This window comes from Homo sapiens, chromosome 11, assembly GCF_000001405.40.
Source record: "Homo sapiens chromosome 11, GRCh38.p14 Primary Assembly".
NCBI classification, from domain to species: Eukaryota; Metazoa; Chordata; class Mammalia; order Primates; family Hominidae; genus Homo; species Homo sapiens.
Window position 1 is genome coordinate 36095671 of NC_000011.10, and position 24906 is coordinate 36120576.

Consider the following 24906-nt stretch of genomic DNA (forward strand, 5'->3'; position numbering starts at 1 on the left):
AGGTTGAAAGGGTCTAAGACTGAAGGAAAAGTAAGTAGATGACAGTAGTTTCAGCAAGGATGACTCTGCACAGCTTTCCCCATCAGGACGTTTACATAAGCTTATGAACGCCCCGTCTTGGAGCACTTAGAATGCCTTTCCCAGGCTGTCTGAGTGAGCAGGTGGTTACTGATGTTTTGGTTGCATAGATGTGACCCACAAGGTCCTAGAGAAGCTGAAGGCCACCACGGTGGGATGTTGATGGACACAAGGGTTTGGAGAGCTGCCTTGGACAAAAACCAGACGTGATTTGTGGTTTTGGATTTCTCCATCTCGGTTTTGGCTGAAGTCAGACCTCGGTTTCAGCTTGATCCAGTTGAGCCATTCTCTGGCCCACAGCGATGTCAATAATTAAAACTTCCATTTTCAGGCCAGACCACTTTTGTTTGAGTTTACATCATTGGTCCATCATCCTCAACACTGAAAGCACTGGTTTCCTCCATTTCCCCACCTCTCTGACCTTTCAAATCAAACTTTTGGAATTGAATAGTTAAAATAAAAAAGTCTTCAGTTCCTCAGCTTTAGATAGCGTTGTGAAGTTAACCAAGTCCTTGCAGCTGTGATCTCTGTGTGTTCACAACACCTCAGCGAAGCACAGGGAGTAGATTACAACTGCCATCTTGCCGTTGAGGACCACAGAGAGACGCTAGAGCTGGTGTGGCCCTGATCCTGTAGCAACATAGCAATCTTCTGTGCTGGGCCTGGCGTCTGTTCTGGTGCTGTACCCACCACATGAATATGGGTGCCAGCTCAGTTCATTCCCCGAGCTCTGGGATGACCCCTCTTCATCATTACAGATGTTGCTCCTTGTGGGAGGGCCACACTCTGTAGGACCGAGATTCACATAATGAGGGGAATGAGTGTAACATTCCCTGAGCCTGTGCTACATGTCAGACTGGGCACTGTACATTTTCCCACGGATATCATTTGATGTGCAGATTAATGCCGTAAGTAGCAGTATCAGCTTTTTGGCCTGTGGCTGGCGTAGCCATACAGGGCCAGTGCTTAGCTTAGAAGGGGACCATGCTTGGTTTTATGTTCTGCTCTTGCCATCTTGAGTTTTTAAAATAATTTTTGACAGCAGATCCCACATTTTCAGTAGGCACTGGACCTCACAAATCATGTAGAGGGTCCTGTCCACAGATAAAGCAGCTGAGGCTCAGAGAGGTGAAGTAATTTGCCCAAGATTAATAAGTGGCAGAGCTGGGATTGGAGTAATTTCTACTTGGCTGAACTAGTTATTGAAAACAGAGCCCTGGAATGAACCTTGTTTGAATCACACTGCAGGTAAATTGTACTGTAGAAATACTAGTTTTCTGTGGAGATTTGCTGTTGTGTTGTTAAGTAGCTTTGTGCTGACCTTGTACTGGCCAGTTGTCACACTTCTTCTTAAGGGGACGGCCCAGATCTGTCATTTCTTTTGAGGTCTCAGAAAGTGCCTAGAATAGGAGCCTCATGGAGGAGCTGCTCAGAAAATGCTCACTGACCAACTAGGTTCATGGGCTTTTTTGTTTGCAAAGAAGAAATCGAGGCTACTAAGTTTACCTTAGTGAGTCATAAAGAATAAGTGAGGAATTAAAAGGCTGATATATAGTTAGGGAACTGGAAGTATCCTACACGGCTGTGGGATCAGATCATGTCATTACCTCCACAGTGGCAGAGAGGTGCGTCAATCCCTGCCTCAGCTACTCCTTCTGGCTTGGCTTTGCTCCATGTGTCCCTTATGCTACCAGCCATTCACTCTTGCCTCCTCCAGGATATGTCCATGAGGTTCAGGTTTTGCCCAGACCCCTCAGTGGCTGCTGGCCAGCCTTCGGGTTGACCATTTCGGGTGAGGCATTTAGCATGTCGGGGTGGAGAGTGGCAAAATAGATAACAGAGACCAGAGACTTGGAAGGGTGAGTAGGGGGAAGGGAGGAAGATAAAGAGATGAAGAGAAGTGGGTTAAAAGATACAAACATAGAGTGAGATAAAAGGAAACCAGAGTAGGGTGAATATACTTAACAAAAATGTACTGCACTTGAGTAATGGACACCTGAATACCCTGACTTGATCACATCATGCATTATGTATATGTAGCAAAATTTCTCCTGTACCCCGTATATTTGCATAAATAAAAAAACAAAAATGGAAAAAAAAATTAAAAAGAATTCCAAAAGCACAGCAGCCTAGGATAGTTTAAAAAGAGACTAGAAAGTTCTAAAAAGGAGCCAAAGGCATCCCTGTATTATAGCCTGGTCTAAAAGTTAATGTTCCTAAGAATGACCCTGTGCTGTCACCAAAAAAGGTAAATGTTGATGAACCCAAGATTTGATGCATCTCAGAGAGATTCCTGTTGCTGGTGTTGAAAGGCATCAATATTCAGTTATTAAGCAGACTTACTTAACCAGAGTGGCAGATCTCTCCAAAGACCCCCAGGAGGTTTTAGAATGAGGCAGAGTAAGTCTTGTGTCCAGGTTTGGCTGGCCAGCCTTACAGCATGGGCTTTGAGTCTGCCAGCTTAGAAGATAAGCTTACTGCTTCCTGAGCGGGACACACGCCAGGCTGGAAGAAGTTCCAGGGTCCCCAAGGGAACTTGCTGGCCTCCCTGGTAATGTGCTGTGTTTTCCCTCTGCAGCAGCAAACCCTCTGCTTTGCTCCACCGCCCGCTACCACTGCAAGAACGGCCTCTGTATTGACAAGAGCTTCATCTGCGATGGACAGAATAACTGTCAAGACAACAGTGATGAGGAAAGCTGTGAAAGTTCTCAAGGTAGGAACCTCTCAAGCTCTAAAAAGATAATTGCAACACAACACTGCAGTAATGGAACACCCTGAAAGGCAGAAAGCAACACCCATTCCCATTCCAAACACAATAGCTCTGTTAGTTTTTGCACTCAGCCTTGCAGCCCTTGTACAGGTAGGTACCCGTGTTTACGTGGCTTTAACTACAACACACCTACCATTTTGAATTTTGTATTGTTCCTGAATTAAATATCATCTATACATTTCTCTTCAAAACTGTAATATGCCCCAACTGTGTTACATACTGTCATGTTACTCTCCTGTGGTTTTCTGAGACAACGCTTTATTGGGGCAATCCAGGTTGTTTCTTTCCCTTGAATTACTTCTTTGGGATAAAGTCTGCAGAGTGGGATGTCTGCACAGGTGTCTGTTACACCTCAGCATGCAGCTGTGTTTTTTTTTCTTTTTTAAGTTTACATTGCTGACATCATTGTCTGTGCCTGTCAGTTTTACTGTGCTATCACAGACATTCACAGGCATCACAACTGCTGCCCTATTTTTTTTTTCCCATTTTTGCTAATTTGGTAGTCATAGAATAACAACCTCCCCAAATGCTTTCATTTGCATTTCTCTGATTATGAGCAGAGTTCACATTTTTTCCCGTCATGTTTGTTTACTGCTTTGTTTCCTTTTCTGTGAATTGCCTCCTTGTGTCTGGGCTATTGATTTTGGGGCTGTCTCATGGAAGCTGAGGGATGCAGCTGGAGGATGGGAAGATGAGCTTTGTTAGGGAGTCTGAGGAGGACACAATGGGATAAGGTCATGTCCTCCCTAGTTAAAACTGACCGGGTACATTTCTTTACTCATGGACTCTTTTTTTTAGCATTTCTTCAGTGATTAGAAATACTAAGATTTAAAATGCACATCTGTTTTAAGGCATCCGAAAGAATATATATTTCTAATGTTATAAATTGGTATCATCTGTATGTAATCTTTCCTATTTTCACTTAGTATTATATTGCTGTGATTCACCTGTATTGTTTGTTGTTGGAGATTGTTTGTCTTGACTTATGTTCAGTGTTCTACTGTATGATTGTACCATAGTTTATAGATCTAATAAAAGTGTGAAAAGAAAAGTAAGAGAATGATGGTTAACTGCTTAGCTGGTTAACTCATATATTGGGAGGTAGGATAGATGATGGATAAGTTCCATGTAGTTAGATGTAGGTTATTTTCAAGGTCCTAGCTTTTATTTTGATTGGTGTTTATGCTATTAAAAATGAACGAGTGAATGAACAGATGGTCATACATAACAACTGGTGAGAGTGGGCTACAAACCAAGGATTATGGTCAATCTAAATCTATATGCCTGAGGTCCATAGGAAAGAAAAGACAAAATGTGTATTGGCATAGACTTTGCCAAGATTTGTGCAGAGAACAGCTGTGGGAGGCGAGTCTTGGATAGAATTAGCTTCTGATTGTCTTTGCCTGGAAAATGCCTTTCTTGGGTCGACTCTTCACAGTGGTTCTCAAAGTATAATCCTCAGTCCGGGAGCATCAGCATCACATGAGAACTCCGAAAATGCAGTTGTTCAGGCGCCATTCTAGACCAGCTAAATCAACTGGTGTCGGTGGGCCCAGCCAGAAATGCAGTTGTTCAGGCCCCGTTCTAGATCAGCTAAATCAACTGGCGGGAGTGGGCCCAGCCATCGGCGTTTTACTTAAGAAGCCCTCAAGGTGATTCTAATGCACACTGAAGGCTGAGCTCCACCATTCTACAGTCACCTGAGAGAGGTTTATAATCCTGCCATTTGCCTAGAAATTTCCAAACTTCTGACTGAACGCAACGTATTGCTGGCCTTTACACAAGATCAAATTTTTATAAAACCAAACATGCCAATGTCTTGCCAGTGATGGACACCAAATAGGGAACAAGAATGCAAAATCAAGTAAGTATTAGCATAGATAGGAAGGATTGAGGAACATTTTCTATGGCGATTGTTTCTTTTTTTGGGGGGATGGCATGGACGGAGTCTTGCTCTGTCACCCAGGCTGAAGTGCAGTGGCGTGATCTTGGCTCAGTGCAACCTCTGCCTCCCGGGTTCAAGCGATTCTCCTGCCTCAGCCTCCCAAGTAGCTGGGACTACAGGCGTGTGCCACCACGCCCAGCTAATTTTTGTATTTTTAGTAGAGATGGGTTTCACCATGTTGGCCAGGATGGTCTTGATCTCTTGACCTTGTGATCTGCCTGCCTCAGCCTCCCCAAGTGCCGGGATTTACAGGCGTGAGCCACTGCGCCCGGCCTATACAGTTTCTTAAGTGTGTATGTATCCTGGACTCACTTACTCATGGTGCCCTAAGACGTTCAGTGAAAAGACTCCCACGTCTAAGATGTGGAGGTTAGGCCTGTCAATAGTTTGGGCAACACCCTCTTCTGTGCCCATCCCAGTATTTTACTGAAGCAGATTTTTGCTTGCCCTTAAGAAGAATGGTGGGTCCCTCTGTAGGCTGTTTAAAGCTCCTATTTTTTTAAATTCTGCTTTTTCTCTCTCACCATATTCCACGTCCCATAAATATGAGGTTTATGGAGAAAGTTAGTGGTGGACACATACATATGAAGCCCAACTCTTGACACATACTTTCCTTAGAATCTCAGCTTTGTGCCTTCCTTAGCCAGAGGGCATCCCCTTAGAAAATAAGCTACATATGCACGTGCTCCCAGAAAATAAGGCCCACCAGGCAGTTGCTGACACCTGTCAGTTTCATGGGTATAACAGCCACCCCACAAGGTGCCCACTTGTGGAAGGCATTGCTGTGAGCTACCCAAGAAGAGTAACAAGAACAGGACCTGTGCCCGTTTTGCCTCTCAAATCCTGCCGAACCTACGTGGTGGCATTGTGCTCTGTACATAGTGGATTTGCTAAGTGCTGAAGACTAGAAAAGACTTCTTGGTAGAGTGTTGTTATTAATGCTGTGTTTTAATTTGCACCCTGTGTGATATTGCACCGTATAGGTTTTTAAGTTATGTGAGTTCAGATATCCACGATTTATTAAAATAATAACAAGTATTATTATTGTTGTTTAAATTGGGTAGAGAATTCCGTCATTTCCTCAGTGGGAATCTGCCCTGCAGTGAGTGTGAGATGGGAGACAGATCTGGAGTTCCCTTAGCTGTCTGCAATTCTGCAGCCTCATCCTTCGTAGGGTGTACACATCTCCCTGCCCTGAGTGAGACTCTGGTATTAAGGGTGTGTTTTCTTGCATCATGTAACCTCTATGTCCAAACCGACTAACTCATTTTGGTGCTTGACCAAAGGAACCCCAGCACATCAGTGCTGTGGGAAAACTGACCCACACTGAGCTCTATGCAGTATTTTCCTGAAGAATCTCAGAGATAGTTTGACTAGACAAAATATTGCCCTATGCCACATAGGATTTGACCCACTGTCATCTTTTTTTTTTTTTTTTTTTTGAGACGGAGTCTCACTCTTGTTGCCCAGGCTGGAGTGCAGTGGCACAATCTCGGCTCACTGCAAGCTCCGCCTCCCAGGTTCACGCCATTCTCCTGCCTCAGCCTCCCGAGTAGCTGGAACTACAGGCGCCCGCCACTACGCCTGGCTTATTTTTTGTATTTTTAGTAGCGACGGGGTTTCACCGTCTTAGCCAGGATGGTCTTGATCTCCTGACCTCGTGATCCACCCGCCTCGGCCTCCCAAAGTTCTGGGATTACAGGCGTGAGCCACCGCACCCGGCCGACCCACTGCCATCTTAACAATACTTTTTGATGCACTGAGTACTCTGCTAAGCACCTCTGTACATGAGCTCACTTAGTCAAACTTTGTTCTCTCTCCTTCTGCTGGGTGTGTAGCCCTTAAAAATAGATCTTTGCTCTCAGTTATGTGGGAGAAAATGATATTTTATCATATTTATCTTGATGGGGTAGAGCAAACTGGCTGGCTCCAAGACCAGAAAGAGAGTGCTTGAAATAATTCTCTTCCAATTTGACTAGGGTATGAAATAGTGGTTTCTCCACTTTAGCAACACCAGTTTATGGGAGCCCCTCCTCCTCTCTCTCCTTATCTGGGATTTAGTTCCCCTCCTTATCCTTGGCCTTGAAAACTAACATACAGTCTGTAAGGAACTGGGCACGAGAATGGGGCCCTGAAAGTGCAGTCATTATTCTGTCTTTGTATTCTATATGAGATGTATTAGAGACCAAAGAAGGTTGTGGTGGAACTGAATTTTAATTGGGGCTTCATTGATTGGCAACATAACCCATTTCCAAGAAATAAAGTAATAGCTGTGGAGCAGGCTTTCGATGGCTTTTCTGTTGCTTGGAACTCTCTGTGGGAGGGACACATCTGAGAGTTAGCAGGTCCTGCCATATACATGTTGGGGGTCGGCGGCACTCAGGTGGCCTTACAAATGTTGACTGAATGTGGCGGGCAACCTCTGATGATCCCCACCTCCTGGTATTCATGCCTTGGTATAATCTCATCCCTTCAAATGTGATTAGATCTTAGATCCCATTCTTTTGGCGTGTGTCAAAATTTGTCTACTGTAAAATTTATCATTTTAACCGTTTGTAAGTATACAGTTCAGTAGATGTTAAGTATGTTCACATTGTTGTGCAACCAATCTCCAGAACGTTTTCATTTTGCAAATCTGAAACTCTATACCCATTAAAAAATAACTCCCTATTCTCCTTCCCCCCAGGCCCCGGGCAGTCATCATTCTACTTCTATCTTCATTAATTTGGTAACTCTAGGTACCTCATACAGTGGAATCATACAGTATTTAATCTTTTTTTTTTTTTTTTTTGAAGTGGAGTCTCGCTCTGTCACCCAGGCTGGAGTGCAGTGGCGCGATCTCAGCCTGACTGCAGGCTCCACCTCCCGGGTTCACACCATTCTCCTGCCTCAGCCTCCAGAGTAGCTGGGACTACAGGCGCCCACCACCACGCCCAGCTAATTTTTTTGTATTTTTTAGTAGAGACGGGGTTTCACCGTGTTAGCCGGGATGGTCTCCATCTCCTGACCTCATGATCCGCCCGCCTCGGCCTCCCAAAGTGCTGGGATTACAGGCGTGAGCCACCGTGCCTGGCCCAGTATTTAATCATTCTTAAGTGTGTATGTGTCCTGGACTCACTTACTCAGGGTGCCCTAAGACGTTCAGTGAAAAGACTCCCAAGTCTAAGACGTGGAGGTTAGGCGTGCCGAAGGTTTGGGCAACACCCTTTTCCACGCCCATCCCAGTGTTTTACTGAAGCAGATTTTTGTTTGCCCTTAAGAAGAATGACAAGTCCCTCTGTAGGCCGTTTGAAGTTTGCATTTTTAAATCCTGCTTTTCTCTCTTCATGTTCCATGTTTGTGACTGGCTTATTTCACTTAGCATAATGTCCTCACGGTCCATCCATGTTGTAGCCTATCTCAGAATTTCCTTCCTTTTTAAAGCTGAGTGGTATTCAGGTGTATATATGTCACATTTGGTTTATCCATTCATCCATTGATGGACACTTAGGTTGCTTCCACCTTTTGACTATTGTGAATCATTATGGTAAGACATGAGTGTATGGATTGTGACTCGCTTTTAACAAAGAAAATGCAGCAAAAGTGGCGGCTGTCAGTCCCGAGGTTAGATGATGGAGCCACTCTAGCATTGTCTTGCCTGCCCTCGCTGGCTAGCTCTCTCCCACTCTTGAGGCAAGCCAGCTGCCATATTGTGAGCCGCCCTACTCAGAGGCCCATATGGCAAGGGACGGAAGGAGGGCTCCAACCTAAGCTAGCGGGGAACCGAGGCCTGCCAATAGCCACATGAGTGAGGTTGGAAGTGGGTCCTCCCCTAGTCAAACAGAGACATCTGCAGCCCCGGCTGACACGCCGACTGTAGCCTTGTAAGACTCCCTGAGCCAGGGTGTGGCCACTCCTGGGTTTCTGACCCATAGAAACTGTGAGATCATAAATGTTTGTTTGTTTAAACCTCTAAGTTTTGGGGGTCATTTTTTCTGCCACATTAGATAACTGACATACTGAATACTTCTCAGGTGGGCTCCAATTCTCACTGCTCTAACCACAGAGAGCTTGTGGTGACTCAGGTCACAGTGATCGGTGAAACCTTTGGAAGATCATGCAGGGGTTTATAAGAATAGCAAACATTTGGAGTACTAACTGCATGTCAGGCACCATTCTGAGCATTATTGTATTTTCCTGTACAGTTCTCACAGATTCCCTCTGAGAGTGGGTGCTCTTATCACACCCCTTTTCTAGATGAAGAAACTGAGGAACACATAGTTTGTTCCTGGTCTAGTCCGCACAGGGAGCAGGTGGTGGAGCCAGGATGGGGACTCGGCTCATCACACTGACGGACAGACTCATGTTTTTCATCACCCCATAAGACTCCTGTCTGGTAACACTGAGCTGGGCCCAGGACTTTCAGGCGGTCAGTCCTACTCTTGGCCTGTGAGTTTATGGGGGAGATTAGTATGAAGACTGGCATGTTTTCCCTCTCTTTGTACTCCAAAAGTTTTCCTTTCCATGAAAAAGAATAATGTGCCTGTCCACCTTCCCTCCTCCTGAGGAATGTCTGGCAGTTAAGCTCTTCTCAAGCAGCCACCAATGCCGGGAGAGTTAATTAAGTGTTTTGGCAGTTTCTTTATCTTGCTTGCTGTATCCTGGTGATAAGGCTTGAGGAGAATTTGAAAAGCTGGCTGTGAGATTTGGCACCTCACTGGAAGCTAACATTGACAGCTTTGTCCTGTTCCTTCTGCAGAATTTGTGTGTGTGTGTGTGTGTGTGTGTGTGTGTGTGAGAGAGAGAGAGAGAGAGAGAGAAAGACAAGGCGGTGTGTGTGGTTGTAAGAGTGTATGCATTCTTCAAGTTGGCATTTTTGTCCTTGGGGAGGTAATGGGTAGGTGAGGTGTTACCTCCCCTGTGCCAGGCCCCTGGCTGCATGCAGGGATATAGAAGTGGTCTTGGCCCCTTGTTGAATTGTCCTCCTCCCCCGCTGAAATTCTTGTGTTAATGTCCTAAACCCCAGTGCCTCAGAGTGTGACCTTATTTGGAAATAGGGTCATTGCAGATGTTACTTGTGAAGATGAGGTCATACTGGAGTTGTGTGGGGCTCTAATCTGATATGACCGGTGTTCTTATAAGAAGGGAAATTTGGACACCGACATCACACAGAGAGATCACCATGTGAAGGTGAAGGCAGAAATTGGGATGATGCATTTACAAGCCAAGGATCAGCAGAGATCGCCAGCAAACACCAGAAGCCAGGAGAGAGGCTCGGAACAGATTCTCTCTCGCAGCCCTCTGAAGGAGCCAACCCTGCGGACATTTTGATCTTGGACTTCTGGCCTCTGGAACGAGGAGACAATACATTTCTATTGTTTTAGCTGCCTAGTCTGTGGTACTTTGTTGCAGCAGCCGTAGCCAACTAATACAGTCCCCGAGAAGTCACACTTAAGCAAGGCACAGCCATTCACTAAGTGCCAGAGCAGAAATATAGCCAAGAGGATGTGAAACTGCCAGAGAGTGATCAGAGTAGAGTGCAAGAGCGAAGGAAAGTGAGCTTCCAAGGGAGACTGGAAGTGCTGGATGCTGTGTGGGAACTGGACAGTTGCCGGTAAAGAATCCCCTTGGCAGGGAGAGCTGGAAGTAAAGAATCGCCTCGGTAAGGAGAGCTGCTAGTAAAGAATCGCCTTGGTAGGGAGAACTCCTGGTCTGCCTATGGTGTGGGACTTGGTAGAGCCATGCTTGGTTAGGAGGACACCTCCCAGCCTGTATTTCAAGTTCATTTTCTGTACTTGGTGCACAGACCTCATTATCTCTCTCTACAACAGCCCCAGACCTGGAGTCAGTGGAGTCAGAACCCTTCCATGTTCCTTGAAAGCCATGGCCTAATCCATCAATATCTGTGTTCTAAGGACCTTGGACAGTTGCACTTTCCCCTTGGAGTTCTAATGCCTAAGTTAGCTGGTGACTGACCTTGATTTATTGCTGGATTCTGGGCTCACAGTGAATATATATGTATCTATGAGAAGAAAGAATTAGGGACAGTGACTGCTTCTTGCCTTACCCTCTCAAATAGATACCTCAAATAAAACCTCAGAGGTGGGGAACCCCAGGAGGAGGGTCCTAAGGGCTGCTAGGCAGAGGGGTCACCAAATCAGACCAACACTGCTAACTCTGTGGCTTTTGTGTCCTGCATCCGTGATGACCAGGGTATATTGTATATAGTTCATCGAGGGAACTGTCCTTTAGCTACTGCTGAAACTTGGAGTTTGGTGTCCCTTCACACGCTCCACCTACCCCAAACCCACCACCACCATATGGGGTCTGTGATAGACTGGATTTTTACTTTCAGTTCTTCACTCCCTCCCTCTGCTGTGTGACCTGGCAGAATGGCCAGAGGAAATGTCCCTGCCCCGTGGATGCGGGGCTTGCTTTGGCCCGTGGTGTGTTGGCAGTCAGCATGAGACCAGCATGGCCTCTTGCATCTCAGAGATCTTCCTGGAGAAGAATATACCCTGGGCGCTGCTGGTCCAAGGAGAATGCAGTGGCACATGGAACTGACCCGGACCCACCCTGCAGCTCAGGATCTGTCCCAGCTGAAGCCAGCAGAGCCACAGCCAGCCTGCAGATCCAGGAGAAGCCAGTGAATCTTTGCTGTTGTAAACCACTGAGATTTTAAGATGTGTCTGCTACATAGCAAAACTGATTGATATTAGATCCTCAGGAAATGTCTGTCTGTAATTTTTCTTTTTCTTTTTCTTTTTTTTTTTTTGAGACAGAGTTTCACTCTTGTCACCCAGGCTGGAGTGCAATGGCGCGATCTTGGCTCACTGCAACCTCCACCTCCCAGGTTCAAGCAGTTCTCCTGCCACAGCCTCCCGAGTAGCTGAGAGGCGCCCGCTACTATGTCTCACTAATTTTTGTATTTTTAGTAGAGACGGGGTTTCACCACGTTGGCCAGGCTGGTCTTGAACTCCTGACCTCAGGTGATCTGCCCACCTCAGCTTCCCAAAGTGCTGGGATTACAGGTGTGAGCCACCATGCCCAGCCTCTGTTTGTAGTTTAACAGGTATAGTCATGTGCTGCATAATGACATTGCAGTCAACCTACATATATGACTGTGGTCCCATGAAATTATAATACCATGTCTTTACTGTATTTTTTTATGTTTAAATACACAAATACTTGCCATTGTGTTACAGTTGCCTACAGTGTTCAGTACAGTAACATGCCGTACAGGTTTATAGCCTAGGAGCAGCAGGCTGTACCATATAACCTAGGTGTGTAGTAGGCTCCTCCTTCCAGCTTTGTGTAAGTTAATTCTATGATGTGCACCCCATGATGAAATCGCCTAATGATGCATTTCTTACAATATATCCCTGTCGTTAAGCAACGCATGACTGTATTTTTGATTGCTACTGTGTGCCAGGCATTATGCCCAGGAGACAAAGGCACGTACCAAATTTTGTTAAATCTTAAAATGCCATCTATTGTAAGAGCTATCATTATTTTATGTTTTGCTGAGAAAGAAACAATACTGACCATTAAATTATGGCACAGTGTTGTTTTTAAGATGCATTCCAGGCCAGGCACGGTGGCTCACTCCTGTAATCCCAGCACTTTGGGAGGCCGAGGTGGGCAGATCACGAGGTCAGGAGATCAAGATCGAGACCATCCCGGCTAACACAGTGAAACCCCGTCTCTACTAAAAATACAAAAACAAAATTAGCTGGGCGTGGTGGTGGGTGCCTGTAGTCCCAGCTACTCTGGAGGCTGAGGCAGGAGAATGGTGTGAACCCAGGAGGCAGAGCTTCCAGTGAGCCGAGATCGCGCCATTGCACTCCAGCCTGGGTGACAGAGCGAGACTCCATCTCAAAAAAAAAAAAAAAAAAAAAAAAAAAAAGATGCATTCCAGTTTCAGAATGTTAAAATGTAAAATAAAAATTGTATCTTAGAATTGAAGAACGGTAATAGGGAACCAGACAAATGTGGTCTCTGCTCTAATAGAGCTCATATTCTATAGGAAGAGCAGGTGTTCGGTTGGTCAGTAGCGTGAGGAATGTGTTGCAAGGACAGGCGCAGGACACTCTGGAAGTGAATGGCAGGGCAGTCAGTGGGGTGCTAAGTCTTTCTCAAGACAAGATGCTGAAGTTGAAACCAGAAGGATGGGGAAGAGTTACTGGACAAGAGAGAGGAGGGTCAGCGGAGAAGGATCCTTCCAGGCAGAGAGAATGGCAGGTAAGCAGATCCCAAGGTGAGAAACAGCGTGATGCATTTGAGGAACTGGCAGATCCACGTGGCTGCCCTGGGGTGGATGTCAAAGAAAAGCCAGAGCTAGATGGTAAAGCACTAAAAACAAACTTTATCTAGAAAAATGGTTGCCATCAGGGAAAAGAGACCTCAGTATAGAACTGGGTTCAATTCCAAATATAATAGGAAAAGTGGGAATTTTTAGCCAAGCAGTAGGGTGGGGTTAGTGGGTGGAAAATTACTAAGAGGAAACATCAGGGTAAGGGGGGATTCTGACTCAATGGACCTAACAGGATTCTCACTGAAGGCAGGCCAGGAGGATGGTGGAGGATGGTGGAGGATGAGGAACAGGATCAGATATCAAGGGTGAGCATGTGGCAGATGGAGGATTTTGCTAAACTGACTCATAGGGCTTTTGCTAGAATCAGACAATGCAGAGAGGAACGCAGAAGCCCCAAAGCTAGGGCTTCTTTGAGAAGAGAGCTCAGAAGAACCGGAGTGGAGTTTGGTCAAGGAGAGAATCTTTGTCATGGACGGGGGAAGAACAGCCTGCAGGGAAGCTGGAGTGGTCCGTGGTGGCCTGCGTGGACTGGGGGCCTGGGAAACCATGGGAAGGATGTTGCGCTCTCTCCCATGGGCCGTGGGAAGCCACGGATAAGACACGTGAAGGTGGGGGCAGTGGGAACATATGGGGGATGGCTTCAGGAAGTATTTCAGGCTAGAATCGCCAAGATTTGATGACAAACTGGATGAGAGTAGCAAGCTGCGTTATCACCATGGGGATACTAATTTTGTGGAACTAGAGAATCTGCCGTATTATTTTCTGATTGTGCTTGCTTTCCACTTTGCTGCTCCAGGCCCCCCACTAGTCTGGGTAATTGAGAGTAAAAGAGCTTATACTTTTGGAATAGAGAGATCTTTGCTTTTTTCTGTCACCAAATAGAACCAAGTGACTAAGCAGGCAGAGATAATTTCTACAGAAGTCGTGCAGGGCATGTGATAGGAGAAGTGCTAATTTTAGTTTAGTTTTCCAAATATGGATGGAAAAAGCTTTATATTTAAAAAAAAATAGTCTGCGTTTAGGGGATCCAATCAAAAATGTCACAACCTGGAATTTGAAGGGTGGTCAGTATTTACGCCAAACCTTGTGGCTGCAAGTGATGTCAAGAGCTTCATTAGAGAGTCCGTAGGAAAGAATCATCACCCTTAAGGAATTCCTGTAGATTTTCATAGAATGAAGCTGCTGGAGGTCCATTTAACAGGAAGAATGTGGAAGCCTTTTTTCCACTTTTAATTTAGAGTTTGAAAGCCCAGCTGGGCTGAGAGAGGCAAAAATGCTGACTCCATTCGAAGAAACTGAAGGAGGCTGGGAGAGGTTGATTGCTGCCTTTGTGTACAGGTGGGGTTTTCTTCTTAGTAATAGAGTGTTTGCATGACAAAAGCTTCCTTTTCTTTAACCACAGCAGCAGGAGTTTGAAGATTTCTGAAACGTCTTTCATTTAGAAGCAAGTCAGAATGATTCTGTACTCAAAGACAGTAGTTGCTTCCTGATAACTTTGTTACTGCGGTAATCTTTAGGGCTGTTTCTTTAGTCTCCCCCATTTCTTTCAGGTGCAGGTTTCCCCTCCTTGTCCCTCTCCAGTTGGTCCCTGCCTCTGTCCTAGCTCTCTCTCCCCGGTGAATGGCGGAGTCCATCCTGGACACCTGGCAGAGTGTGATTCCTCCTGAGGTGGAAGGACTGAGTTTCAGAGCAGTCAGGGATCAGGGGTAGGGCTTGCTGTCTCTCTGCAAGTTTGCTCTGCAAGTTTCTGGAGCCCTAAGACTGCTGTGTTGTGCTGCTTGATTGTAGAGGGGACATTTATCCCTCCATGGACTGACTGCTGTGGCTCTCAGCTCCCCAACCCCCAACACCCTTTGACTCTCTTGGGTCTTTCTAACATTCGTTCATGCACACATCATTTGCAGAGTGCCTGCAATTGCCCGGTCTCACCCAGGTACTGGAAGAAATACAAACTATTATAGATCAGCTCAAAGTTGCTCACAGTCCTGCAAGGGAGAAACATAATAGCCTGCAGATAATTACCCTCAAGTGTGATAAATGCTGTAATAGAGGAATGAGCAGCATGCCGTGGGAGCTTGAGGCTGGCAAGGAGTGACAGTTTTTCCTAGGGGGATATGGCAAGGCTTCAGAGAAATGAAATCGCTGCCCAGTCTTTACAAATACATAAAAATGGACCTGAAAACAAACGTGGGGCTGGGCATCTAGCCAGAGAGGGAATAGTATAGCCAAAGACAGAGATTCTGTATGGCTGGAGCAAAGTGTGCATGTGTATGTGTGGGGAGTGGGAGACGTGAAACTGTTAGGGTGCATTGAGGCTGACTGCTGGGGGCCCCCTCCCTGCAGGATCCAATGAGAAGGTGGAGACAGAGGAAGAAACCCAGGAGAAATGAGATGTTCAACCCTGGAAAAGAAATTCATAGGAGCAGCTCGTTATCACTGCATGCCGTGAGAATTCTGCTTATCCTTGTGTCTTACTGAGCCCTGCTAGCCTACAGGCAGGATGAGCCTGGGGAATCGGGGAATCGTAGACCTGTGAATTTCTAGGGGTGAGAAGAGTTTGGGAAGCTCAGTGACCATAGAAGGGATATCCTCCCCCTCCTGCTTCCAACAAGTGGCTTGAAAAACTTACCTGGGTTATTCAATCAGGTCAGTTATGTCTTTTTTTTTGGCCCCAGTTTGACTTCCTGATAGCTTTGTGGCCAGTGAAAGGTGGAAATGTGCTCTGTGTTGCAAATATGTCAGTTCTTGTCACATCCCCCAAGTACTCCAAGCAGCTCTTTCTTGTTTCCACCTTGTTTTCCTCTCTGGAAACCCACCATGTTATCAGTCTGTTTCATCTTTTTTTTTTTTTTTTCTTTCTCTGAGATGGAGTCTCACTCTGTTGCCCAGGCTGGAGTGCAGTAGAGCGATCTCAGCTCACTGCATCCTCCGCCTCCCGGGTTCAAGCACTTCTCTGCCTCACTCTCCCGAGTAGCGGGGATTACAGGCGCCTGCCACCACACCCGGCTAATTTTTATGTTTTTAGTAGAGATGGGGTTTCGCCATCTTGGCCAGGCTGGCCTGGACTCTTGACCTCGTGATCCACCTGCCTCGGCCTCCCAAAGTGTTGGGGTTACAGGCGTGAGCCACCACGCCCGGCCCAGTCTGGTTCATCTTTAGTTCATTTTGTGGAATGCCTCTAAATGACACTTACCCATCTTCTCCCATTGGTTCTCTTCCTTGAGATTTTGTGCCCTTTATCATGTGTCTGCTGCTCAAATTTGCATCAGTAGGTCAGCTGTTATTGAAACCCTCCTTTTTTTCTTTAAGAAAATTTATTTGTACCTCTACAGCAGAAATAGAGAGAGAATAAGTTTGTGCAAACCACACTTTATGAAATGGATCCTCATAGCACATCCTTTTTAATGCAGGCTTGTTGTTGCAACATTATTCCTGGATTTTCAAAATCCAGCCAACATGGATACCTCTGCTACTCTGAAACCCTCCTTTTTGCAGAGCACATTGCTAGGTGCTGAGAGTCAAGAGAATTCCTATGAGCTGCTTCATTCTAGTAGCTTATTTTTTAATTGAAGAGAAAGACCAGGAATACACAACCATCTCTTTGACCACTACTAACTTGAGAAATGTTGCATAAGGCCTTCTATTTAAAAGTAAACGTGAATTCCCCATATATCCAGAGTGCCAGGGGACTTAATGTATGTTAAATTAGTTGCCCTGTCCTCAGCAACTTCCAGACCGTGCACTCATGACCTTTGGAAGGGGCAGCCCTCTGCTCTCCAAGACACCTCCCTGCCATCTCAGTCATTGTTGACCAAACCTTAAGTGGACAATTGATCCTAGGCTAGTCTGTTTATCAGCTGGCCAGCAGCAAATCAGAATGTCTCTTTCAAAGACACTCAGGGCTGAATCAGCCTTAGGATGCTAAGCAAATCATTCCGTAGGATAGGACACAGTCACATAGAAGCTACAGCTGGGAAAGGCAGAATTCATAGTAGAGAGTGCTGGTCCACCTAGAGGCCAGCCCAAGAGGCCAGAGGTGGCCATCCCCAAAAGAGAGATGGAGAGAGTATTTGCTTTTTTTCCTCAGATGTTTTCCCAAATCCCCAGGAAGCCCAGTATCTCTGCCTTTTCAGTGAAGCCTCTGTCTTCTAGAGTATGCCTTTCCCTTCATTTGAACTGATTTGAGTGGATTGCAAGCTCTTACCAAGAATGGTCAGTGTCAGTCAGTCATACATGGAGTCATGGAAGACCTACATTGCATACCTCTGACAAATAGGAAGGAATGGGAAGACAGGGAAAAGGTTCAGAAAGACAGATATGTGCACATCTTTTGAGGGACTTTTGGGATCTAGTTTCTAGGGTTTCTTCTATGATTCTTTCTCACATTAGGTTCTTAATGTGGAATATTTGAGGTGGCCCAGGGATTCTGTATTAGTTAGAACATAGGGTAAGCTGCCATAACAAAGAGATCCCATCGTGAAGTGGCTAAAATGAGATGCAGGTTATGGCTTAATAAGTGCCTTCGATGAGAAAAAGATCTCTCACTTGGAATACCCCAGAGATGAGCAGTTTAGGCCAACAGGGAGCTCTCCGCTCCTCAGGAATTCCAAGACCACTACAGTGGTTACTATTTCTGAGACATCAGAAAGCGGGGAAGTACAGAAGGAGAAGACTGAAATTAAAAAAAAAAGAAAGAAAAAGGAAATAAGAAGGGGAGACCAGGACAGATAGCTTGATATATAAGAAGATGACCTGAAAGTTATACACATCACTTTCACTGATGATGTGGTTGCCTGATCATGACATATTCACATGACCACACCTAGCTGCAAGGGAGGCTGATCAATGTTTTCTTTCTCATTGTGGGTACTTATATCACCTTTTATATCCTAGGTGTAGAAATCACATAGCATCACTTTTTTTTTTTTTTTTTTTGAGACAGAGTCTTGCTCTGTCATCCAGGCTGGAGTTCAGCAGCATGATCTCAGCCCATTGCAACCCCTGCCTCCCAGGTTCATGCGATTCTCCTGCCTCAACCTCCTGAGTAGCTGAGATTACAGGCCCACGCCACCACACCCAGCTAATTTTTGTATTTTTAGTAGAGACGGAGTTTCGCCATTTTGGCCAGGCCGGTCTCAAACTCCTAACCTCAGGTGATCCACCTGCCTCGGCCTCCCAAAGTGCTGGGATTACAGGTGTGAGCCACCATTCCCAGCCAACTTCTGCCATACTCTATTGATCAAAATAGTCAGGACTTTCTATAATATTATGAAAAGGCAGAAAGGGAGATTGGATGGGTACTGGGGATTGATTAGCCACAGTCTTTGCCACAGACTCTTTTGGACTGAGCCGATAGGTCAAAGGTTAGCTTATGCAGTAGCATGGGCTGTAGGTTTTTTGCACTGATCAACACCGGAACTTTTAGAAGACTTTTAGAAGATTTGTTGCTGCTGTGAGTGACATCAGTTCACACAGCCTGAGAGAGAACTCTCAGTCCATGCTGTCCCTCCTTGGGCTCACTCAAGTGAAATGGGTCGAGCTGCAACACTGTGCGGTGCCAACCGGGAGAAATCTGCCTATCGGGGCTGAGAGACATCCTGTAGTGGCTGCCCGTCTCCTTTGCCCCAAATGTCAAGTGGAAGAGGTGCTTCACATATTTATTTCTTCCTACATGGGCTCATTTATTGTAAGCCCATTGTGACCCTTGGAAAGCCAAGCTTTTATCTTGATTTTGGAGTGTGATCAAGGTGACAGTTGTTCTCTGGATGACAGGAATCTGACTTTGGTTTTGCTTTTTCCATAGAGGTCAGTTGGCCTCAAATTTGGGCCAATTTGCATCTGGAGGAGACCTCCAAGGACAGATGCCTTGTCCTCATTAGCTAATTTGTCAGGCAGTCTTTCCTGTGTGGCACAGAACCTTTTATAGATTTTTCCTCAAACTCGTTTTGGTTGGCCAGTGCCTGCCTGCCTTTCTTTCTGGAAATGTGCTGTGTATTTGTGGGGACGTGACTCCATGGTGCGTCTCTCTTCCCAATACATTCCCTTTCCCCTATCCACAGCCCTGTTACTTCTGTCTTTCTTCCACTCTCAGTGCAGCAATTTTAAAGTACATCCACAGATTCTTTGGCACTCCTACCTTTGAGAGGTACAGACTGTGTCCCTACTTCTGGAAACTGGGCCAGCTATTGTGACTATTTTGATCAGTAGAGTATGGCAGAAATGATGCTATGTGATTTCTACGAATAGGATATAAAAGGCGACATGGCCTCTTCCGTGTCCAGAATACCCCTCTTGAGAGCTTCAGCCACCATGTGAATGTGGTGCCCTGAGACTGCCATATTGTGAGGAAGCCCGAACTATCTACACAAAGAGACCCTGGAGAGGCCAATGAGAGGAGAGAGATGCTTGGGCCACCCCTGGCTGCTTCAGCCACTGCTGTCCCAGCTGCAGATACTGTCTGACTGCAATGACTTGTGAGACCTGGAACCAAAACCACCGCTTCCTTCTCAAATTCCTAAACCATAGAAACTGTGAGAGATGATAAAGATGGTGTTAAATTTGGGGATGATTTGTTATGTAGTAGTTGCTGATTGGAACCTCAGTCAATAAAAAGGCATCTCCTTGCTGCATCGTCAGTGTGCTCGTCTTGATAGAGAAGCTAATAGTAGGTACCCATTTTCAGAGTCTTACTTTTCCTAGGGGCAGCTCGAACCTTTCACTGGACCCCCGCTTCCCAAGAGAGCATTCATGTGGCCCTTGTGTTCCTGAACTCTGTCAAAGATGACCACTCCCTGAGGTTGCACACGAAGGCCAGAAAGGCTACTGACCTCAAGCTCTGCTGTGTCATGTTTCTGTCACACACAGCTATTCCTTATCACCCCACGGTCACATCCGCAAAAGGACGCCCCAGTCCCTCCTCACCTCAAGCATCATCCAGCGAGGCTGTATATGGTGCTTCTGATGGAAGCTGAGCCTGAGTCCCTGATCCCTCACTTCCTTGGCATGAGACTGAAGCCTGAGATACCTTTACTTTCTCTGTGCCAGGCCTGTGCTAGGCATGGAGGATATGGAGGAGAACATTAGATGTGAGAAAGTTTTTAAAAATAAAGTCCTTCTGCTTTGGGTATAAATCTCAGGAGTAAGCTAGTTTTGCAAGGCCTCCCCCTTACCTTAGCATGTATATTAACATATTCATGATATAAAACATTAAGAGCCCAGGTTCTGGATAGGTCAGGCAACAGCTGTACCACTTAGTAGCTCTGTGATTTTGAGCAAGTTACTTAACCACTCTGAGCTTCACAAAGGCAACCAGGCCTGCCTCTAGGATTGCTGGGAGGAAATGTGAGAAAGGCTGTCCAGCACTTAGCAGGTACTTCTAAGTGTGAGTTCCATTCCCCATGGACCACCATTCCCCTATATAACCAGCAACCATCAGAGCTACCAGCCCAAGCCATTCCATCTTTCGAAAAACACCAAATTGAAGAACCAGATGGGTTCCCCAGTGTACTCTGTCTCTGACAGCTGACAAGGGTTTTCTTTTTCCTGCCTACCAGCAAGAAGCCAGCGTCCCAGCTTGGTTCCATCTGGTATCTTGCTTCCTGGCCTAACAAAAAAAGGAAATACCAGTGGAATGTTCACATATAGCTGGGGGTGAAACCGACCCTCTTCCAGGAAGGCGGGGATGGGGGGATGCTCATAAGGCGCTTCTATTGTCTAAAGTGCCCACTATAATAACTCCCCCAATTGTGTTCAGAGAAACTGTATTACAAATAACAGAGCTGAATCTCGTATTAGCCTTTGTTAATTCAGTGTTAGGCACCTGGGATGCATCCTTGGACAAGAGAGACTCCCTGCATTATGTGGTTCTCTTCATTTCTAGTGATTGGCACCTCAGATATCAAGGGAGGAGACTAAAAAAATAAAAAATAAAAAAATAAAAAAATAACAACTGGCACTAGTTTAAAAGCCACGTGTAATTCTTGATTAGTTTTCTTGATTAGTTTGGGGAAATTAACCATATTTTGATTATTTATCAGGACAAAGACTTGCCTTGTCATTGCCTGAGTAACCTTTCTTTTTCTTTTTTTCTTTTTTTTTTTTTTTGAGATAGAGTCTCACTCTGTCACCCAGGCTGGACTTCAGTAGCGCAATCTTGGGTCACTGCAACCTCTGCCTCCCGGGTTCAACCAATTCTCGTGCCTCAGCCTCCTGAGTAGCTGGGACTACAGGCGCGAGCTGCCATGCCCGGCTAATTTTTGTATTTTTATAGAGGTGGGGTTTCACCATGTTGGCCAGGCTGGTCTCGAACTCCTGACCTCAGGTGATCTACCCACCAGTGATCTGCCCACCTTGGCCTCCCAGAGTGCAGGGATTATACAGGTATGAGCCACCGCACCTGGCCTGCCTAAGTAATCATTTAGAGCAAAAGTTGTGAGGTAGAATCTGGAAGGAAAAGGAGGAAGGAGCCTCTGAGATCAGTGATCCATTCTAGACAATCACACTTTGAGACATTTGGCGTAGATGAGTCACCTTAGACTAATTTATGGTGTGTTTTCTATTAGAATTGCAAAATTCTCACACTTGCAGGGTGTTAAAATCTGACTTCACATCATATTTAATACATACTATATTTAAAACTGGGATATGAACTGAAACAAAAGCAAAAACTAGAAAGAACTACACTCGTTTGCTGACTTCTGAACTGATCTTGGGTTTGGCCATTGTCATTTTCATTTCCACCACTGTGACTCTCTGTATCTCAGTAATGTATTTTGGATCTGAACCATTCCATGGATTATCAGAATTATTAAACTAGGACAAACCTAAAACATCGGAACACCCCAGCAGAGCTGGAACTGAACTGGTTGTTGCCTGGCTCCCTGGTTCCCACCCAGCGTGACAGTGTGATGGGCAGTGTGACAGCCGTGGCTGCTGTGGTGTCTGCAACTGAGCTTCCACTTCAGCTCTGCTCTGATTCAGGAGCAGTGTCAGTGATGGCCTTGATGCCTTAAATGGTGGCTTCTCCGCTATGCCAATCCTTCAGCTCCTAATATGGTGGTAAAATTCAGATTATTATGTAAGATATCTATAAACATTGGTGGAAAGAGCTGGAGAGTGGAAATAAGTGTAATCAGGGCTCTATGGGGCAGAAGTTATCAAAGGAGAAGGCACCAAGGCCAGCATCAAGGTGTGTTTGGAGCTAGAAGAGTTGCCCTGGAGAATATCTAGTTATAGTGATCCTTAACCAAAGGTGGTGGAAAAATGTGGGGCTGAGAGAGGGCATTTGGAAATGTGGATGGTGAGTTCCACAGTGTTGGCGTAGGGGTGGAGATGTGATTGGCATTTAATCATAGGGTCAGGGAAACTTAACATCCTCCATGATAGGGTAGTCTTACAAAGCAAAGAATTGTCCCACTCCAGATACCAATAGTACTCTGGTTGAAAGGTGTTAGACCAACTCTTTTGTTTTATAGAGGAGAAAATGGAGACCAAGAGAGATGATGTAATCTGTGCAAGGTCACACAGCTAGGAAATGGCAAGAACTGCGAATGGGAACCTGGTTCTTTGGACTCTAAAACTGAGGTCTGTTTTCATCATGCTCCTTGTTAAGGGGAAAAAATTAACTTATGGTGTAGTGATTAGAGGGAAACGTCTGCATGGCATTGTATATGGTATCAGCACATTACTACTGTGCCATTTGACACACATGTCTCCAAACAGAAGTGAGAAAGTAAGAGTGAGTGTGTGTGTGTGTGTGAGAGAGAGAGAGAGAAGGAGGGAGAGAGAGAGAAAAAAAATACCTCATTTTCTGCCAAGTAGAAGCCCTAAACTGAACTGGATTCAATTTGGGGGTCCTGAGCACCACTACAGAAGGTATCAGTCAATAAGTATATTATTTTGTTTTAGGGTTTTTTTAACAGCTTTATTTAGATGTAATTAATATACCATATTAATTCCCCCATTTAAAGCACACAATTCAATGTGTATTCACATAGTTAGACAGCCATCCCCACTGTCTAATTTTGGAACATTTTAATTACTTCAGAAAGAAACCCCCATACCCACACACAGTCATTCCCTATGAACTCCCTGCACCTTTCCTTCAGCCCTGGGCAGCCCCAGTTTGATTTCTGTTTCTATGGATTTGCCTCTTCTAGAGATTTTATAGTGATAGAGTTATATAATATGTGTTCTTTTGTGACTGACTTCTTTCACTTAGCATAACGTGTTCAAGGTTCATGTAACCATGGGTGTCCTACCTTTTGGCTTCCCTGGGCCATATTGGAAGAAGAATTGCCTTGGGGAATTGTTAGTGTAGTAAAATACACTAACAATAGCTGATGAGCTAAAAATAAAAAATAAAAAAGGTTCGTCCGTAATTTTCTTGATATCCACCACAAAAGATAAGCAAAAAAGTCCTCACATTCAAAGAACACTCTTGATTCTAACCTACAGTATGTATCAGCTTCTGGATTTTTTTCACTTTTTGGCTATTATGAATAAGGCTGCCATGCACATTTGTGTGCAAGTTTCTGTGTGGACATATGTGTTCATTTCTCATGAGTTTATACCTAGAAGTGGAATTGTTGGGTTATGTGGGAACTCTGTTTTAACTCTGAGGAACTGCTTTCTGCTATTTTGGACTGTTTTCCAAAGCTGCTACATTGTTTCACATTTTACATTCCTACCAGCAGTGCATGAAGGTTCTGACTTCTCTACATCCTCACCAGCACTTATTATTCTCTGTGTTGTTTTTTTTTTTGAAGACAGCTATCCTAGTGGTGTGAAATAATATCTCACTGTGGTTTTGATTTGCATTTTCCTAATGACTAATGATGTTGAGCATCTTTTCATGTACTTATTGTCACTTGTATGCTTTCTTGTGAGAAATGTCTGTTGCTGTCCTTTGCCCATTTGTAAGTTGAGGTCTTTTGATTGTTGAGTTGTAAAAGTTCTTTTTTTAATTCTTCAGACAATTCCTTTATCAGATACACGATTTGCAAATATTTTCTCTCATTCTGAGTTGTCGTTTCACATTCTTAACAGCATCATTTGCCACACAAAGGTTTAATTTTGATGAGGTCCAACTCATCTATTTTGTTGTTATTATTGCTTGTGCCTTTAATGTCATATCTAAAAACCATTGCCTAATTCAAAGTGCCAGAGATTTACTCTTACATTTTCTTTTAAGAGTTTTGTAGTTTTAGCTCTTATTTTTAAGTCTGTGATTCATTTTGAGTTCATATTTATGTATGGTGGGAGTTACGCATCATTCTTTTGCATGTGGATGTCCAGTTGTCCCAGCATCTTTTATCGAAAATGTTATTTTTTCCCTCACTGAATTGTCTTGGCACCCTTGTCTGCTGTTTTAAATAAATACACTGCATAGACTCCCTTGGCTATATTTCTAGTCTGGAAACAAATACACAAGTAGTGTGTGATTGTCTCTGTCTTCATATTTAGTTGGGACAAGCCGAAGCTGTATGATGATGTAACAGGCATTTTTTTTTTAAATGGTTAGATCTCTTCTTCACTGAGTGACCTTATAACACCACACACGTCTCCTGCAGAGAACCAGTGCCAATCTCCTTCACCAGAATATTTTCTGCTCCACAGATAGTGATAGTTGTAGCAGTAGTTGTACTCATTGGAAACTGTCCTGTGAGTGTTTAGTATGTGCTAGGCACTCTCCTGAGCACTTTATGCATATTATTTATTTAAACCTTGTGAGATCTTAGACTAAGTTAGCACAGGGAAAAAAGGAATTTGAAAAAAAAAGAAACCTTGGGGGAACCTCATGAGGCAGTGATGAGTATCCAC

The 24906-nt window shown here is 44.9% G+C and overlaps 1 protein-coding gene across 3 annotated transcripts in view, besides 8 other annotated features; it reads left to right on the forward strand.

The window, feature by feature from the left end:
• LDLRAD3 (low density lipoprotein receptor class A domain containing 3) overlaps positions 1–24906 on the forward strand; it is a 288075-nt gene that overhangs the window by 151609 nt on the left and 111560 nt on the right. For all 3 annotated transcript variants that reach the window (NM_174902.4, NM_001304264.2, NM_001304263.2), the window contains one exon: positions 2657–2791. In NM_174902.4, the coding sequence (NP_777562.1) occupies positions 2657–2791 (135 nt within the window). The remainder of the gene's footprint in view (positions 1–2656; positions 2792–24906) is intronic.
• Positions 6111–6280: an enhancer, noted in NCBI's record as "experimental_21313 CRE fragment used in MPRA reporter constructs". NCBI's record gives its function as "activates a minimal promoter by MPRAs in K562 erythroleukemia cells, with activity observed for the introgressed 11:36123416 variant allele {active_cell/tissue: K562}" and the evidence as "EXISTENCE:reporter gene assay evidence [ECO:0000049][PMID:34662402]".
• Positions 9941–10885: an enhancer, noted in NCBI's record as "NANOG-H3K27ac-H3K4me1 hESC enhancer chr11:36127161-36128105 (GRCh37/hg19 assembly coordinates)". NCBI's record gives its function as "activates a minimal SCP1, AML or CMV promoter by ChIP-STARR-seq in naive and primed H9 embryonic stem cells {active_cell/tissue: H9 hESC(naive and primed)}" and the evidence as "EXISTENCE:reporter gene assay evidence [ECO:0000049][PMID:30033119]".
• Positions 10886–11829: an enhancer, noted in NCBI's record as "H3K27ac-H3K4me1 hESC enhancer chr11:36128106-36129049 (GRCh37/hg19 assembly coordinates)". NCBI's record gives its function as "activates a minimal SCP1, AML or CMV promoter by ChIP-STARR-seq in primed H9 embryonic stem cells {active_cell/tissue: H9 hESC(primed)}" and the evidence as "EXISTENCE:reporter gene assay evidence [ECO:0000049][PMID:30033119]".
• Positions 12475–13000: an enhancer, noted in NCBI's record as "H3K27ac hESC enhancer chr11:36129695-36130220 (GRCh37/hg19 assembly coordinates)". NCBI's record gives its function as "activates a minimal SCP1, AML or CMV promoter by ChIP-STARR-seq in primed H9 embryonic stem cells {active_cell/tissue: H9 hESC(primed)}" and the evidence as "EXISTENCE:reporter gene assay evidence [ECO:0000049][PMID:30033119]".
• Positions 13001–13524: an enhancer, noted in NCBI's record as "NANOG-H3K27ac-H3K4me1 hESC enhancer chr11:36130221-36130744 (GRCh37/hg19 assembly coordinates)". NCBI's record gives its function as "activates a minimal SCP1, AML or CMV promoter by ChIP-STARR-seq in primed H9 embryonic stem cells {active_cell/tissue: H9 hESC(primed)}" and the evidence as "EXISTENCE:reporter gene assay evidence [ECO:0000049][PMID:30033119]".
• Positions 14049–14572: an enhancer, noted in NCBI's record as "OCT4-NANOG-H3K27ac-H3K4me1 hESC enhancer chr11:36131269-36131792 (GRCh37/hg19 assembly coordinates)". NCBI's record gives its function as "activates a minimal SCP1, AML or CMV promoter by ChIP-STARR-seq in naive and primed H9 embryonic stem cells {active_cell/tissue: H9 hESC(naive and primed)}" and the evidence as "EXISTENCE:reporter gene assay evidence [ECO:0000049][PMID:30033119]".
• Positions 14345–14524: an enhancer, noted in NCBI's record as "active region_4629". NCBI's record gives its function as "activates an Ori minimal core promoter by ATAC-STARR-seq in GM12878 lymphoblastoid cells {active_cell/tissue: GM12878}" and the evidence as "EXISTENCE:reporter gene assay evidence [ECO:0000049][PMID:35858748]".
• Positions 15623–16146: an enhancer, noted in NCBI's record as "NANOG-H3K27ac-H3K4me1 hESC enhancer chr11:36132843-36133366 (GRCh37/hg19 assembly coordinates)". NCBI's record gives its function as "activates a minimal SCP1, AML or CMV promoter by ChIP-STARR-seq in primed H9 embryonic stem cells {active_cell/tissue: H9 hESC(primed)}" and the evidence as "EXISTENCE:reporter gene assay evidence [ECO:0000049][PMID:30033119]".